General features: G+C 40.2%; 1 protein-coding gene and 1 long non-coding RNA gene across 7 annotated transcripts; one reads left to right on the top strand and one right to left on the bottom strand.

Annotated features, from left to right (window-relative positions):
* Positions 1 to 1,606: 1,606 nt before the first annotated feature.
* MTERF1 (mitochondrial transcription termination factor 1) lies at positions 1,607 to 11,380 on the bottom strand. Of its 6 annotated transcripts, none has more exons than NM_001301135.2 (4): positions 11,335 to 11,380; positions 10,733 to 10,791; positions 7,556 to 7,656; positions 1,607 to 5,442 (listed from the first exon to the last, which is right to left on the bottom strand). In NM_001301135.2, the coding sequence occupies exon 4, from the start codon at positions 5,409 to 5,411 to the stop codon at positions 4,272 to 4,274; it is 1,140 nt and encodes a 379-aa protein (NP_001288064.1). In that variant the 5' UTR covers positions 5,412 to 5,442; positions 7,556 to 7,656; positions 10,733 to 10,791; positions 11,335 to 11,380; the 3' UTR covers positions 1,607 to 4,271. The 6 variants fall into 6 exon arrangements, with proteins under 6 accessions (NP_001288064.1, XP_047276795.1, NP_008911.1 ...); XM_047420839.1 differs by having other exon boundaries at positions 11,318 to 11,380; NM_006980.5 differs by lacking the exon at positions 7,556 to 7,656.
* A 99-nt stretch (positions 11,381 to 11,479) lies between these two features.
* LOC112267986 (uncharacterized) lies at positions 11,480 to 17,158 on the top strand. The gene is made up of 2 exons (XR_002956514.2): positions 11,480 to 11,542; positions 16,294 to 17,158. It is a non-coding gene; the product is annotated as an uncharacterized LOC112267986 (long non-coding RNA).
* Positions 17,159 to 18,893: the final 1,735 nt, after the last annotated feature.

Consider the following 18,893-nt stretch of genomic DNA (forward strand, 5'->3'; position numbering starts at 1 on the left):
TTGTGAACTAAGAATAAAAGGATATCTCTTCAACCTCATGATAAATAGGTTAGCTGAGACTTTGTTTCTTTGTATTGTTCAAAGACTTTTACAATGATTATTACCACAGAATAAATTCATTTCCAAGGTAAACTTTTAAAAGAAAGAGAATTATGGTGGGCAGAATTTGAAGGTACCTTGAGAGCTGGTGAAAGTGGCACTGGGATATTCAAAATGGAAATGAAAGAATTAGCATATCATCATACTAAAATTGTTCATAATTAACATAAAGCAATTCATGTACAAAAGTTCATTAATCTTCACATAATATTTCTATTAAGGACAAATAAATCCCAAATACTGATCAGAAAAATAGTGAAACTGAGACAGAAAATGAAATTCCATCAGTGTATCTTCTATTTCTTCCCAAAATCTAATAATAATACAGTCCTGCTATTCTAGCTCGCTTGTGCCAAACTTTTCCTGAACTGTATAACAATGGACTATTACCAAAGTTTGTGGCTAGGGTTCTGCCATCAACAGTTCTCTACTGGATCTCCACTAGATGGTAGCAAGTAAGGAGGCATTACAGACTAACAAGGAAGGAGCCAGTAGTCAGGGTTTTGTTTTGTTTTTTTACAGGAAAGCTATATTGTTGGATCTTTAGCCATAGACCATGTACCTACCCAGCCTTAGAAATTATTTAAGGGGAGAAATTACTAGTTTAATAACCCAATAAACCCATCTATAAATATTCACTTTTTAAATTCCTTCCTGCTAAATTCATCTGGAAGAAACTCATTTTTTTTCTTTTTAATCTGTGATATTATCCAAATTCTTGCAGTTATTTGAAAGTGCTCAAATTTATGGCAATAATTTAGAATGGTTTCCATTAAAAATGAAGTTTTACAGATCCATCTGACATTTGGAGAACGGCAAAATGCAGCACTCTTAATATTTATATTTTCTAGACCAAAATTTTAAGTTATAAAATATACCAACGATTAAAACATGGTGGTATGCATTAACACTACGGAATACTGAAATAATCTAGGTAGGATTTTCAAAAAATTGCTAATGTACTAAAATTTACTCACTCTGACCAATGGTGACAAATTATGGTTTATCCAAAGAACAGAATTTCATGCAGCCATTAAAAAATCATGTTATAGGTAAATACTTGATTTTGTAATTAGTTACTAAAGAATACTTAGTATGTTCAGGATCTATTACACTAAAAAAATTATAAAATAGTTTGGTTTCAAACATATATGCCACTCATCTACTCATATTACATGCACGTATGGATATGTCTACCAACAAAAACAATAGGAAGAGTCACCAAAATGTTAATGATCTCTGAGAGATAAGATTATAGTTATTTTCTTTTGGGGGGTTTATTTTCTATCTTTTCCCATCATAAACATGGATTTTTTCACTCATGACAAAATATTACTGAAGATTTCTGTAATTTATTTTTTGAGACAGGGTCTCACCCTTGCCCATGCTGGAGTTCAGTGGCACAGTTGTAGCTCACTGCAATCTCAAACTTCTGAGCTCAAGGGATCCTTCCACCTCAGCCTCTGAATAGCTAGGACTAGAGGTGCGCACCACTATGGCCGGCCTTTTTTTTTTTTTTTTTTTCCCTACTAGCAATGATATCTTGCTAGTATTACCCAGGCTGGTCTTGAACTCCTGGGCTCAAGCAATCCTCCCACCTCGGCCTCCCAAATTGCTGGGATTACAGGCGTGAGCTGGGATTACATGGCTGGCCAATATTTCTATAATTCTATCTTTAAAAAAAAAGAATTGACTCTCCCTTGATCAGACTCAAACCTTAAAGTATGACATGTTAATTTTGCCTGACAGGCATTATCTGTTTGTTTCTCCAAAGTTTTCCTTCCCCCATCCCCTACTGCCCAATGATCAAGTGCTGTACTGTACTTCAGTGCAACCCACATTCTCTCTGGCCACTTGCAACTATCGTTGCTATACCATTTCTCATCAGCCCAGCTACAATCCTATGATCTGCTGATGTCAATAAACTATTATCTCTTCTACCCACCTCCTTCAAGTCCCTTATGAGCTTGTTAGATTCCAAAACAATACCTCAGAAAACACTCGCGTACAATTCAGAAGACTTAAGAAATCAATACTTTAAGCCATAACAGTAAAATGTATTCCCAATACTACTGTACCCATACAATGGAATATTACTTGCCAAAAAAAATGAAATACTAATATGTGCTACATGGATGAACCTTGAAAATATGCTAAGTGAAAGAAGCCAGTCACAAAAGACCATACTGTATGATTCCATTTATATGAAATGCTCAGAATAAACAAATTTATAGACACAGAAAACAGATTCATTTTTGCTTAGGCTTGGGGGAACAAATGGAGGGAAATAATGGGGATTCACTAACAGGTACAAGGTTTCTGTTAGGACTGCAAACATATTCTAAAACTAGATTGTGGTGATGGTTGCTGCTATGGTTTGACTATCCATCCCCTCCAAAACTCATGTTGAAATTTAATCCCCAATGTGGCAGTATTGAGAGGTGGGGCCTTTAAGAGGTGACTGGATCATAAGGGCTATGTCATCAGAAATTGATTAATCTATTCATGGATTAATGAATTAATAGGCTATCATGGGAGTGGACTGGTGGCTTTATAAGAGGAAAAGAGACCTAAGTACATTAGCAATCGCCATGTGATACACTGTGCCGCCTCAGGACTCTTCAGAGTCCCCACCAGCAAGAAGGCTCTCACCAGATGTGGCCCCTCAACCTAGGATTTCTCAGCTTCCATAACTGTAAGAAATTCATTTTCCTTATAAATTTTCCAATAAATTATAAATGTATTATAAGCAATGGAAGATAAAGTTGCACAACTCTATATATAAATTGAACTGTGTTAGACTTTAAATAGGTAAATTGAATATGTGAATTATGTATAAAGCTGCTTTTTAAAATACTATCTTTTTATTATAGCTATCACTGATTGCATCATTACTATGTGCAAGAAACCTTAGAGGTGCTTTTTCATTTGATTCCTACCAACTCTGGAAGGTCAATTTCTGGTGTTACAGATGAGAAAAACAGGTTTAGTAAATTTAAAACATTAACACAAGTTACTCAGGAATGGTGCCCAGATACATCACTCTAAAGCTCTTGCTTTCTAAACTATGCCATGCTTGCCATCAAATAGTTAACCAAATTATAATAGGAGTATCGTTGAATATATAAATGGCCTTAGAAAAGCAGACATATTGTTTTTATCAATAGTAGGAATAAGGTTTTTTGAAGTATCACTGATAGCAAATGAGGTTTAAAAGGTTGAGCACCATTATGTTATTTAATTCAAAAACCACATCTAGAAAACAAATGCCTCTGGAAAACAATTAAAATTAAGGTCATATAATTTGTCTCACGTCTTTCAGTTTATGTCAGAGCTAGATTGTATCTTGAAAATACCGACATTATCTGATTTGCCATTTTTTAAGTCAATGCCTCTGAAAATTACTCTTTAATATTAGCTGAAATGCCAACAAAATGCACAGAAATGATTATCATTTCCTTAAACTATATTAGGCAAACATATTCCTTTATTTAGATTTTATATTCACATTTAGTTTTTTATGCACACATTTAAGACTTTATAAACACTAACATTAGCAATTCCAGAAGGGTAGGTAGATTTTTTAAATATAATTACTCTTATAAAAGGAAGAAATAGAGACTTTACTAAAGGACTGTATTTTTGACTTCACCTATAATGCAACTAATCATCTACTTAGTTGCTATGTTAATCTATTTGCTTCTTCAGCAAATTATCACTGACTCAGTGGTTTAAAACAACACAAATTTACCATCTTATGGTTCTGTGGGTCAGAAGTTTGACATTGATCTCACTGGGCTAAAAAGGTGCCAGCAAGGCTGCATTCCTTTCTGGGGACTCTAATGGAGAATCTGTTTCCTTGCCTTTTCAATCTTTTTTTACAGGCCCCCTTCATTCCTTGGCTCAAGGTGTCTTCCTCCTTCAAAGCCACCTTTTAACTTCCTTCAAAAGTAGTTGTCTTTCTTATACAGGATCACTCTGACCTCCTCTTTTGCCTCCCTCTTCAACTTTTAAAGATCCCTACAATTATATTAGGCCCTCCAAAGTAATTCAGGATAATCTCCCCATCTCAAGGCCCTTAATAACATTTTAAATTAATCACTTCTGCAAAATTCTTTTGCAATGTGGCATAACATATTCACAGTTCCTGAGAATTAAAAACATTGGCATCCTTAGGCAAATCTGCTTAACTTTTTCAATTTAGCTTCATATCTTTTTTTACTCCAAGATAGAAGAGTGATGTTTAAAGTACTCAAGTTACAGCCAGCATTTACCAATTCTTTGATTCGACTTTTTAAAGTACTTATGCTTGAATCCAGAACCCGAGGATTTTCGATTATTTGTGAAATGCTAATGTTTTCTTCCATGAGGCAGTCTATTTTATCATTAAACTTTTTCTCTGCCAAGAAGATCACATCTGGATAGCTTAAGACAAACTTCTGTACCTCTTCTTCAGTACATCCAAGAGAAAACAGCTTCTCTTTGATGTTTGCGTAGCTTCTTCTGGCATAGTCATTGGAAAGGTCTAGGATTTCAGCTCCTGGACCACATATCAGAACCAGCAGTTCCTCACTGTTCAAATTGAAAGTTGACCGTAAGAATTCAATGTTAGCTTTCACCCGCTTGGTGCTCTGAATTAAGATAAAAGGGTTTTTAAAAATTATCTTTCTGACAAAATCTGCGGGATCATTGTGACCCAATGACAAACCGGCTGCCTGCAAAAATTCAACCATCTGTTTATTCAGATCAAGACTATTGGAGAAGGTACGAGGGGCATTGGTCAACAATCGACAAAGGCATTTACGGGTCAATCCAACTGAGTAGAGGAACTTTATATTATTCTCTAAGTTTAGGTTGTTATTGGACCGAAAAAAGGATTCAGGAGAACGTTCCAAAATATTTACAATTTCAAGGTCTGATGTCACAATCTTTCTCCACAGATCCCACCGTTTTGAAAGATTCTCGGGAGTACGTGTTATTGCTCGTGGATATCTTGATATGATGCTAGCGATCACTTCTTTGCTAGCTCCTTTGGAAAGAAGGAACATCTTCAGGTCCTGCTCATTGGTAATCATCCTATGAAAAACTCCAGGCTGTCGTTTCCTTGCCATGTCAATATCTACTCCCATAGTAAGTAAGTTTTTCAGTAGGTCCTCATTTTTCAAAGGCTCACTGTCTGTATTATGACACTTCACACCAAAAAGCCTAAATGAAACTGATTTGAAGATGTTTTCTGCTGAAAATCGAGTCATCCAACATCTTGAACCAAAGAGAAAGTTATTTCTCATATGCCAGAGGTTTCCTGGTGCCATAATGGTTAGGTAGTTCAAACCTTTTGAAATGCTGTGTAAAACAACACATAAAATATTACACAAATGCATGTGTTAAACAACTAAATGACCATATTACAATCCTATAAGCATCATGGTCATTTCTATGAGAATATACCTTCAGCTCCAGCTCTCCAGAACTGTGTTAATAATTCAGCCACTGCTGAATTATTAAATAAATAGTAAAACTACAATTTATATTTGTCTTAGCCTTTGAAAAATTCTACATGTTTTATAATATAAACAATATGATTGTACTGTAAGACATATATAATCAATAAACAAATGTACATATATAACTGTCTCTCCCTAGCTCACTGCTTCTGTTACCTGTAAGCACAGGACTGCTTCCATTGTTAACCTAAAGAAAAGCAGGTGGGGCACCATTAGTGCCCCAGAATTGTTCTTGCTTTTTTCTTGCTCTTTTTGTTTACCTTTGCCTGCCTTGGCTACCTAAAATCAGTTGACCCTCTCCATCTCTGCTTTGTCCTCCTGATTTCCAAACTTTTTTTTTTTGACACAGGGTCTCACTCTGTCACCCAGGCTTGGAGTGCAGCAGCACTATCATGGCTCGTTGCAGCCTCACCTCCCTGGGCTCAGGTGATGCTTCCACCTCAACCACCTGAGTAGTTGGGACCACAGGAATGCCCCACACGCCCAGCTGATTTTTTATTTTTATTTTTTGTAGAGACAGTGTTTCACTATGTCACCCAGACTGGTCTCAAACTCCTGGGCTCAAGTGATCTGCCTGCCTTGGCCTCCCAAAGTGCTGGGATTACAGGTGTGAGCCACCATGCCAGGCGTGGCTTATTTCTTATAATGACACTTTCATTTCTGCCTCATATTTCAATTTTCCAGGTCTTCGACCTTGCCCTGCCCATAGATACTAGATTTCTTTGCCTCTGGCCTCCTGGTTTTCAAACTCTAAATCTAGCCCTGAAAACCAACACCTCAGATTAATTTCCATCTTGAACATCTTTTCCTAAATTCCTGCTACCCTTTATATCCATGCTACCATTAAAGCCTTAATTTTTCTTAGCTTATATAGACCTCTAGTCAACAGCTCTTGATCACAATCTCCATCTCATTTGGTTTACCCTATCATTCCCTACGTTGTAACCCAATAATTCCAAACCAATTTTCATCTTCAAAATGATCTAGTTGTGATATTAAATCCACATGGCCCGCCACATGTGAAACTGTGCTGAAAGATGGCATGTAAACATTAAAACGTTACCTTTACCATTCTCCCCTTCTCCATCACCATATTACACAAGACTAATTCTGGGCTGTTTGCATCTGTTACACAACACTTTCAACTTGCAGCTTCTAGCATGTGACTAAAACCTCAATAACTCATTTTCCTGATCATTTGGAAATGGGGCTCAAAACATACAAACTTATTTATAATCATAACCATAGGTCCCTACTAAAATGAGCATCTCTATTTATAAGAAATATTTTATGAGGAAAGCAACAGAAAAAGTGTTCTGTTATTCAACCTATCTGATGATTTGTTTCTAAGCTACTTGTGCCTGAGTCATATAACAGTACATATATATTTTTTAAACTGTACTTTTGCCTTTTTAGAATATATAGCTGTAACAAGTTCGTGCTTGATTTCTAATTACTTACAATGGGCTCTTACTTAGAAAAGGCATTTCTTTTTTCTCCTTCTCCTAATTAAGCATAAAACAGAAAATAGAGATAGATAATTCCAACCCACTACTAACCTCTTTGGGCTAAAGATACTGCTTTCAAGATCAATTTCAAAGAAAGCCTCTTTGTGTCTGTCCTTTCAATTACTCCAATTTTAACTAGAACTTGATTATGCCTACAGGCAGGGAACATTCCTGTGGCTCACATAATCTACAGATTCTCACAGAATTGGGAAAAGATCCCAAAACTACAGAATCAAGTAATGTTCAAAGCCAAATGCAAGGTACTCACAACATAAACATCAAACAACAAAAGCACATTTCAGATTGATCCATACTCTACTGAGCTCACTATTCTTCACTTCTCCGTAATACCACATACTACTCTGTAATTACTCTTCCAAAAATGCATGAATTTAGAAACTTTAAAATATAATTATCCTTCTAACTGAAGAATGACGGCTCTACCTTGCATAGTTCAACAGCCTGTTTTCTCTTCCAGATGCTCGACTGACCTCTACTGGAATAAAGGGGCAGAATGCGTCAGCTGGAAATCAGATCAGTACTTTCTAGAGAGGTCCAAGATGATACAATGGGATGGAGGAAGAAAATAGTTAAAACTACAATTTGTATTTGTCTTAGCCTTTGAAAAATTCTTTCTACATATGTTTTATAATATAAACAATATGATTGTACTGTAAGACATATATAATCAATAAACAAATGTACATATATTGTAGGCATATTTCTATTGACAATGTACACAATCAAAAAAGTGTGAAGACTACTAGACAGTGCACTTTCTTAGGACTATTAGCATCATGGTAAACAGGCTGAATAAGCCACAGAATGTTCAACAGAAATTCTATTAATAACAAACTAAAAATAGGTGAAAATGTAAGCCAAAATTCCTAACAAAAAGTAACAAATCTATAAACGTTTCTTCTAAATCTGTCACAAGTAAATTTCATGTCTTGTGTATAACTCATCCTCCATGGAAGTTTCTTCCACACAAACTTAACATGCCCCAAACTTGAGTATCTTTCCCAGTCCCCAAATTTGCCCTCTTCTGACTAAAGATATCATTATCACAATCACTATCTAAGAGTCATTTGTGATAAAAATCTAAAAGTGAGCTTTGCTTTCTTCCTCTTCCTCAACTCCAGTCATCAAATCACGTAGACTCAACTTCTTTGGCATCTCTCTGAAATCCAACCTCGCTACTCTTTGTAATTCTCATTCTGTTACAAGTCTTCATTCTCTTTTACCCAGCCTGTAACAGCCACCTGATGTGCTTCTCTGACATCCATCACTCGAAACTGCCACCATACTGACATTTGTAAAATGATGTGATTATGTCCCTCATTCTCTGATTAAAGACCTTCTGTAGCTCTCCCCGAAAAAACAAAATCTTCAAAGTGATCTTTTTCTAGCTACCTTTTCAGTTAGCTAACTACCTTACCATCTACTTCTAACTACCTTTCTAGCTATCTCTTCTATTGTACCACCTCAATACCTAGCACTATCGCCTCTCAAACCTCTGATCCCAAACATCCTTGCCCATTCCTGTCTCCCTACCTTTGCTTAAGCTGTTCTTTCTTTTAGAAAGGCCCATCCTCCTGATGCCTATCCATAGGACAAGGTCCCATTCAAATATAATCTTCCCTCAAATCCTTAACTTACTTTAAAATACTAACCACTGAAATCAACCATTTGTTTTATGATAATTTATTACTAAGGAATCTAAAACTAAGCTTTCTATTTATAGAAAACAAGAGCTGAAATGGACTTACAACTGGCAACTGAAATTTGGTCTTGATTACAATACTAAAATGCAATAAATTTACTCTAAAAATGACATCTAAAAATGACATGTGTGGTCTCAGCTAAACCTAGAAATTTGGTCTTGATTACAATACTAAAATGCAGTAAATTTACTCTAAAAATGACATGTGTGGTCTCAGCTAAACTTAGAAACAGTAATTAATAATATTGACTGTTAATGAACATATGAGGAAACAGAGGAAATTCTCAAATATTGTTAATGGACCAGAATTTGGCACCAGCTGCCACAATTTTAAATGTTCATAGCCTTTAATTCAGCATTTCCACTTCTTGGAGATTATCCAAAGGGGGAAAAAAGGGCCAGGGGCAGCGGCTCACACCTGTAATGCCAGCATTTTGGAAAGCCAAGGTGGGAGGATTGCTTAAACCCAGGAGTTTGAGACCAGCCTGGACAACAAAGTGAGACCCTTATTCTACAAAAAATCAAAACATTAGCCAACTGTAACAGCACACACCTATAGTCCCAGCTGCTCAGAAGGCTGAGGTAGGAGGACTGCTTGAGCCCAGGAGATCCAGACTGCAGTGAGCCATAATCTAGCCACTGCACCCCAGCCTGGATGACAGAGTGAGCCCATCTCAAAAAGAAAAAAAGACAATATGTGTTTGTTATGAAAAAGGATGACTAGGCCAAGCACAGTGGCTTCACACCTATAATCTCACCACTTTGAGATGTTGGCCAGGAGTTTGAGATCAGCCTGGCCAACATGACGAAACCCCATCTCTACTAAAAATACTAAAATTAGCCAGGCATGGTGATATATGTCTCTAATCCCAGCTACTCAGGTGGCTAAGGCACAATAACTGCTTAAACCTGGGAGGCGGAGGTTGTAGTGAGCTGAGATTGCACCACTGCACTCCAGTCTGGGCAACAGAGCAAGAATCTGTCTCATAAAAAAAGAAAATAGAAGAAAAAGAAAGAAAGAAAAAGGATGACCATCATAACATTATTTGCTATAACAAAGAAGAAGAAACCCAAATGGCCACCAATAGAATAATTAATAAATTGTGGTACATCTATGCAATATACTATAAAGGTGCCAAAAATAAAGGCCGATCTACTGCAATCAAAAGATGTCAGATATTCTACATGACAAACTGCTTAACAGTATGGATAATGCCATGTATATTAAAGGCGGGGAGGGGGACGTTAATATATACAGAGGGGGAAAGTGGAATGACACTTATTTCTGAAAGATTATTAGAGGCTATGTACTACTTCTGAAATACTGGGACTTTATTTAATGAATATGTGTTACTTTGCAGTCAGATGAAAAAATTTAAACAAGTAAAACTGGCCTTTGGTGTGAAAAACAATGGAAAATACAAATTATCTTTATCTATTTTTCGGTTTCTAGTACCAAAAAAGTCACACTTCAAAATTCTCCATGATGCTTTACTCTTAGCAACGGATCTCCATTCAAAATACTCATAATATCTAGTAGGGTAAATGAACATCTAAATAGCCTAATACAAGAAAGTTAGCAACTTTCCTCACGTACAAATTTCAAAAATGGTACCTATTCAAAAATTGACTTCGATCTATTTCTCAAATTGACTTTTTAATTAACCAAAACCATTATCCAAAGGGCTAATGTTCAAACTTAACAAACACTGAAAATTTCTATGCTTGTAGTATGAGGGGTCTAAAAAAAGATTTACGTTCGCCTCTGCCCCACAACTGGCCTGTTAAAAAGGCTGTTAATGGAAATAACTAATCACTGGCCCTAAAATACCACATTCCAGCTGGTCTTCTTTTGATACAGCAAGCTAAGTTTGGAGATCTTTACATGCATTTCTCACCTTGTTTGTCCTAAGGAAAGGCTCTGCATCCCTCCAGAAAGGCTGGAGAACAGCTATCTCTGGAAATGACACACACACACAAAAAAAAGGCAAAATATTTCAGGCCTTCCTAATACAAAATAAGAGATCGATCCCAGCTAACGTTCTCGTTGCATTATGTTCTCGTGAGATGCATTACCTCTTGCAAACAACATTTCTCAGACATACAGAAAAGAAAACGGCAAGTACATGCCTACATATGATGGGAAAAGGTAGCGGAATCACGAATACGTTTTGTACCAAAGCTAAGTGCTTCATATATATTGTCTCGCTTTACTCCCCACAACAATTTAAAAGGTAGGCATAAGCCTTAAAATTACAAAATCTGAAACAGCGCCGAGCTCCCATACTAGCCTGCCTTCGCTAGCTGAAGCATTAGGGTTCGAACCCAGGTGGGTCTTTCTTAACTCAAAACCAAGGTAATTCCACACCGAAGGCTCTTTCCATCCCTCTTCCTCCTCCAAAGACAAATCTGCAAAGGGCTGCACTGTACAGCAGTCACCCACACCCACTTCTTAACAAAAAGAAAGGAAAGCACAGCCTCACCACCTTCCCAATCTCACCCTGAACTGCACCCATCCACTGTAGTTCGCTTTTACTTCCGCCTCTGGGGTCCGGAGCGGCTAGGAGGAGCGGAAGTGGAAAAGACTAACTTCCGGCCTCGGGTCGCGCGCAGAGGTGATGTCGTTGGTCCTGCGCCCCCTCGTGGCGGTACTTCAGCCCTTCGCAGCCCGACGCTAGGGGCCTGGCAGGGGGCAGCAAGAGACCGCGGTGAGCGCGGGGTATTGAACGCCAAAGAAGGGGTTTGGAGGGTGGGGTGGGGCCTGGGACTCCCAGTCGCCTGGGCAGATGTCCGTGGGGAACTGTAAGGCATCTTATAGGGATCCTACAGGGGGCATCCACTGCCGGCCGACGACACGTGGTGGAAAAGTAGCTATTATTTACATGCGTGTTGCAGTTTTTGATAATGCGATTGCTGCTGCTAATGTGACTAACGCGATGCCGATGAACATCTCGGCGTTTTTTGGTGCAGGATAAGCGGGTGTAGACTCTGTCTGTTTAGTCCCAGATTCTCCTCCTTTAATGAACTACCGTGGAAATCCTGGAGTGTCACTGCTGGTCTGAATTCAGCATCCGCCTTCAGGCTGGAAATCAATTCTAGTATACTTCGATTTCCTTACTTGCAGTTCGAATTCAAATATGATTCTTTTGACATTGTGAGGGTTTGCGCTATTTAAAGAATGGAGGCAACCGAAACCTCATCTCCACAGTGGATGCATTTTTGCTCCCTCCCGAGGCGTTGCCTTAAGCCACGCGGTCCTGTCAGCCTCACCTGCCTAGTGATGGTGACAATGGAAGAGATAAAGCTTCAATTCAAGGCACTTCTCCTGTGACCATCAAAAGAAAGATAATATCTACATTAATGAATTAATTGTGTCTGTCGAGTTATCCTCAGGAGACGATGGTGATTTGGTCCTTAAAAAAACACAGGATCAACAGGATTGACCCTGAATTCTACAAAGAGGAAAAATTTCAGGCATTACTAACTCCTCCATGTACAAGCCTAATGATGTAATTTTCTGGCCGGGCGCGATGGCTCATGCCTGTAATCCCAGCACTTTGGGAGGCCAAGGCGGGAGGATGGCTTGAGGCCAGGAGTTCGAGACCAGCCTGGCCAACATGGTGAAACCCCATCTCTACAAAAAGTACAAACATTAGCCAGGCGTGGTCACAGGTGCCTGTAGTCCCAGCTACTTGGGAGGCTAAGGTGGGAGAATCACCTGAGCCTGGGAGGTTGAGGCTGCAGTGAGCCGTGATTGTGCCACTACACTCTAGCCTGGGTGACACAGTGAACCTTGTCTCAAGAAAGAAAAAGAATTTTCTTTATCCCATTTCTTTCTCCTTTTTCTTTTTTTTTTTTTTTTTTCCTTTAGACGGAGTCTCACTCTGTTGCCAGGCTGGAGTGCAATGGCGCGATCTCGGCTCACTACAACCTCTGCCTCCCGGGTTCAAGCGATTCCCCTGCCTCAGCCTCCCGAGTAGCTGGGAGTACAGGCGCGTGCCACCATGCCCGGCAATTTTTTTGTTTTGTTTTTTGTTTTTTTGTTTTTTTGTATTTTAGTAGATACGGGGTTTCACCATGTTGGCCAGGATGGTCTCGATCTCCTGACCTCATGATCCACCCACCTCGGCCTCCCAAAGTGTTGGGATTACAGGCGTGAGCTACCGCACCCGGCGTGTTTATCCCATTTCTATGCCAATGAACCAATTACGTTTTACCATCACTCTTCCCCTTTGACTACTCCTAGTTGGGTTGTTGTTGTCACTTTGTTTTTAATTAACTCTCTGTTTTGTTGGTTTAGAAGGATAAAGATTTATCTTTGGGAATTTAAAATACTAATAATCAGTCTATCTATTAAGTAAACTACTTACTGCAATTCCTCCAGGTAAAAATTAGTCCCAAAAAATTGGAGATGGCTTTTAAAATGTGAATTTCTAAAATCTATATTCCTTCTGCATGGAAGGAGCTCCTATGTCTGAATTAATATTATTATATATTATGTATATACACACACACAAACTGCTTTACAATCGGCATGTAAAATAAAATTTAGAGATTAAATTAAATAAAATAACCTTTGAGATTATTGAGCCCCAGCCCTCTCATTTTACAAATGAGAACACTGAAACCCATACAGTAGGAACTAGCAAGAGAATGCATGTCTTATATTTTCTTTACCAGTAACTCTAAGATTTATACCACATACTTTGTTGTATTGATTTAGCTATCAATAATTATTTCAGACTTACTTAGGTAACATCACCTATGTTGGTTTTTAGTGATATTTTGTCGGTAAAGGCAGATTGGTTCTTTTGAAAATAAGTTCCATATTTCCCATCAGAAATTTTCTGATTATAAATCTATTTTAATTGCATATTATAAAATACTGAAAGTATAACAATAGAAGTGTAATAATGGTTGGGTTAGGATGTTGTATAATTAATTAGGTTTCTTTCTTATTGTATTTCTTCAGTGATTTTTGAAATGTCATTACCTCCAGTAAGAGAAATGACTACTGCCTCATCGTCCTTTATGATGTTTTACAATAGGACCTGTATATACTTTGCCTGTATTTCATTTGTTTATTCAATGAACATTTTTTCAGCACCTTCACATTCCAGGCCCTGTTTTCAAGTTAGGGGACATAGTGGAAACCAAGACAAAGCCCCTGCCTTCCTGGACCTTATTTCTAGTGGCAGGTCTTACTCTCAGCCTGAATGTCTTCTCCTCTACATGCCTCTTCCATCTCCTTCCCCAGGACCATAGCAGACCCATGTCCCTACCAAGTTGATGTAATTAAGAAAAATAAAGTGGCTGAGTGTAGTGATTCACACCTGTAATCCCAACACGTTGGACTTAGATACTCAGAAGCTGGGCTGAAAGTCAAGTCTGAAGACAGAATCTGTGCTGTATTCAGAAGTGCCTCTGCCTTTTATAATTAAGAATTTTTTGACTGTGCCAAATGTGCCTGTTCCTCTGCCCTGGAAGTGTCCTTCTTGCTTTATGCAAATAGATTTCTGGCAAACCACAGCCCCTCAATTGACCATTCATTCATGTTTGAATCTCAGCAAGCCCAATTAAGGTCAAAAAGAAAGTGGCCCTTCATTCCTCCCACTCTTACCTTCAGTTGATACAACACCCGCAGACTCCTGGATTCAGTAGACAAATGCCTGCCCCACCCCCACATCAACTTCACAGACAGACCTGCTAGCTTCCTATGTGACTTACTTGAGGGCCCTCAGAGGACCATCAGGTCTCTACCCAGGACTCCCTTATTCCATTCTCTTGCCTGCAGCTGTTTTGGTTGCCAAAAGCATAAAATGTCTCCCAGTTGTTCAAGGCTAATTAAAGTGGTAGATAAAGTTACCCAGAGAGTCTCAGGTTAACACTTTGTTGGCAAAAAATAAAAAAGATTGCTTAATTTCCCCCCTTTTCACAATTGCTTTTTAACAATTTAAGATTTCTAAAGATTTTACTTCAGGCAACTTTATTTCTCTGAAGTGTGCCTAAAGACTTCCTGAGTCAGCTTTCATGCTCCCACACTCATTACCACAAGGGTCTGTGGCAAAGAACTGGATACTTAGCCTAGCAAATTTGCTGATTCCAGACCTGATATGACAGCAATTCCCATGGTAGTTGGATCAGCCTGACAGAGTTGGCCAAGAGAAACACAATAATCATTTGAGATGCTATTTAGCCTGGTGAGTTTAAGTACCTTTTGGATTGTTTGATCCTACTGTACCAAACCTTCAATTAATTACCGTGAAATGATTCTTAGTCATTGGTAGAAAAATTAGTCTCAACAGAGAGGAGGGGAGCAAACATTCACAAGATGAAATACTATTTTCACTGTCGAAAACTATTTTCCTTTCTATTTAAGGCGTTTCTTGAAATTCCTCCTTTAGAGATTTAGTCCTTGGTATAAACTGTGCTGATTTAAAATTGCAAATGTATTTGAAAGGGAAAGCATATTAAGCCAAAGGTCAGCAACCTTTTCCTATAAAGGACCAAATAGTATTTCAGGCTTTGTGGGTCACATACTGTCTCTGTTGCAAATTCTCTTTTTTCTTTCCATATTTCACAACCCATTAAAAGTATAAAAACCATTCTTAGCTTGGGGGCTGCTGGGCCACGGGCCATAGTGTGCTAAGACCTGCATTAAAAACGATAGTGAACTACTCACATATAACTAACTTCATTTGTTGATTACTATATTAAAGACATCCAAAAACTAGGAATTTTAAGAGAAAGTACATGGAGAGAAAAATAATATTTGAAAACATTTATGTAATGCTATCTGCCATGCACAATTCTAATCATTTCACCTCTATTAACTCATTTTGTTGTATAATGGAAGTAATATTATCTCCATTTTACAAATGGGGAAACTGAGATAGAGACTATGTAGCTTCCCCAAGCTCACGCAGGTAGTAAGTAAGGGAGCCAGCATTGCAACCTAAGAAGTCAGGCTCCAGCGTCTATGACTGTATTCACAATGCTATGCTGACACTCGGGGAGACATAATACTTTAATTTACGTTAGAAAATACAAATAAAGAAGAAAGGAGCAAAAAAATAATAATTTCACTTATAATTCCATCACCTAGAAATAACCACTATTTATATTTTATTTATATTATTTTGGTTTCTATCCTTCCAGAACATATGAAAGAATATAAAGCAAAAGAATATAAATAAAATATGTAAACTAAGTATTTTAGGCATTGTGGGTGACATATTGTGTAGCTGTAACTGAAGCTAAGTTACAGTTATATGTGAGTAGCTCATTATAGTTTAATGGAGGTCTTAGCAGACTATGGCCTATATACATATACCCATAGAGTATATTGAATATTTTTATTCAACCCTATGAGGCAGGTATCATAGTTTTGCAGATGAAACTGAGGCTCAGATGAATTAAGTGACTGTGTGTCTTCGTCCATTTTTGTGTTGCTATAAAGGATTACCTGAAGCTGAGTAATTTATAAAGAAAAGAAGTTCAATTGGCTCACAGTTCTGCAGGCTGTACAGGAAGCATGGCACTGACATCTTCTCAGCTTCTGGTGAGGGCCTCAGGAAGTTTACAATCATGGTGGAAGGCAAAGGGGGAGCAAGCGTCTCATGTGGCAAGAGGGAACAAACAGGAGACAGGAGGTGCCACACACTTTTAAACAACAGGATCTCACAAGAGCTTACTCTTACAAGGACAGCACCAAGAATATGAGGAATCTGCCCGCATGACCCAAACACTTCCCTCCAGGCCCCACCTCCAACACTGGGGATTACATCTCAACACTGGATTTGGAGGGGACATCCAAACTATATCAAGGCTGTACAAGAAGCTTGGTGCCAGCATTTGCTTCTACGCAGAGCCTCAGGCTGCTTCTACTCACAGTAAAAGGCAAAAGGGCATGCAAAGATCATGTGGCAAGAGAAGAAGTGAGGGATGGGGGATGCCATGCTCTTTTTAACAACCAGCTCTCATGGGAACCAAGAGGGACAACTCACTCATTATAGCACCAAGCCTGTATCCCTCCCATTATGCCCTACCTCCAACATCGAGGATCAAATTTCAACATGAGGTTTGGAGGCTCAAATATCCAAACAATGGCATTATGTCAGGATCATAAAGCTAATGTTTGTGAAACCAGGATCTGAACCCAAGCTATTGCTTCTAGAACCTGTACTCTTAAGCCCTTGCTTATACTGCATTTGAAATTATGCTTCATTGTATAAAAAGTCCTTTTCACCTCAAGCTTATAGAGAAGTCACCTTGTTCTTAAAAAGTCCTTTACACTTCAAGTTCATAAAGCTCAGGCACATATATTTTCTTCCAGTACGTTCATTATTATTTTTCTTGGTTTTCCTTTAAATCTTTGAATCATCTGGATTTTATTTTGGAATGAGAAATGAAGTAGAAATTTATTTTTGTTTCTTTTCAGAATGGCTGGTCAATTGTCCTAACATCATTTAATGAATAGTATTTATTTCCCCTTTGCTTTGAAATACTACTTTATCATATACTAAATTATAAAGTAATCTTTTATTATCATTTTTGAATGACTGCATTCCAGTTGTGGAAGATATTACTCAAAGTCTGTTGTGATTATCTAACTTAAGTGTTGATATGAAGAAAGGAAAGTAGGTTTCAGCCTGATTTAAGAATTTTCCTCCTCTCCCTCTCCCTCTCCCTCTCCCTCTCCCTCCCCCTCCCCCTGCCCCTCCCTGTCTCCCTCTCTCTCTCCCTCTCTTTCTACGTCTCCCTCTCTTGCCGAGCCTGGACTGTACTGCCATGATCTCGGCTCACTGCAACCTCTCTGCCTCAGGCTCCCATGATTCTCCTGCCTCGGCCTGCTGAGTGCCTGGGATTCCAGGCACGCACCACCACTTCTGACTGATTTTTGTATTTTTGGTGGAGACGGGGTTTCACTGTGTTGACCGGGCTGGTCTCCAGCTCCTGGCCTCGGGTGATCTGCCCCCCTCAGCCTCCCGAGGTGCTGGGATTGCAGACGGAGTCTCGCTCACTCAACGCTCAATGTTGTCCAGGCTGGAGTGCAGTGGTGTGATCTCAGCTCGCTACAACCTCCACCTCCCAGCCGCCTGCCTTGGCATCCCAAAGTGCTAAGATTATAGCCTCTGCCTGCCCGCCACCCCGTCTAGGAAGTGAGCAGCGTCTCTGCCTGACCGCCCATCGTCTGGGATATGAGGAGCCCCTCTGCCCAGCTGCCCCGTCTAGGAAGTGAGGAGCGCCTCTGCCCAGCCGCCAACCCGTCTAGGAAGTGAGGAGCGTCTCTGCCTGGCCACCCATCATCTGGGATGTGAGGAGCGCCTCTGCCCGGCCGCCCTGTCTGGGAAGTGAGGAGTGCCTCTGCCCAGCTGCCCCAAATGGGAAGTGAGGACCGCCTCTGCCTGGCCGCCCTGTCTGGGAAGTGAGGAGCGCCTCTGCCCGGCCGCCCCATCTGGGATGTGAGGAGCGCCTCTGCCCGGCCGCCACCCCGCCTGGGAGGCAAGGAGCGCCTCTGACTGGCAGCCCCATCTGGCAACTGAGGAGCGCCTCTGCCCGGCCGCCACCCCATCTGGGAAGTGGGGAGCGCCTCTGCCCGGCCGCCCCATCTGGGATGTGAGGAGCGCCTCTGCCCGGCCGCCCCGTCTGGGAAGTGAGGAGCGCCTCTGCCCGGCCACCCTGTCTGGGATGTGGGGAGCGCCTCTGCCCAGCCGCCACCCCGTCTAGGAAGTGGGGAGCACCTCTGCCCGGCCGCCCTGTCTGGAAAGTGAGGAGCACCTCTTCCCAGCCGCCACCCTGTCTGGGATGTGAGGAGCGCCTCTGCCCGGCCGCCCCGTCTGAGAGGTGAGGAGCGCCTCTGCCCGGCAGCTGCCCCGTCTGGAAAGTGAGGAGCATCTCTGCCCGGCAGCCCCGTCTGGGAAGTGGGGAGCGCCTCTGCCCAGCCGCCCCATCTGGGAGGTGGGGAGCACCTCTGCCCGGCCGCCCCATCTGGGAGGTGGGGAGCACCTCTGCCCGGCCGCCCATCATCTGGGAAGTGAGGAGCGCCTCTGCCTGGCC

The sequence above is a fragment of the Homo sapiens genome, chromosome 7 (genome assembly GCF_000001405.40).
Source record: "Homo sapiens chromosome 7, GRCh38.p14 Primary Assembly".
Lineage (NCBI taxonomy): Eukaryota > Metazoa > Chordata > Mammalia > Primates > Hominidae > Homo > Homo sapiens.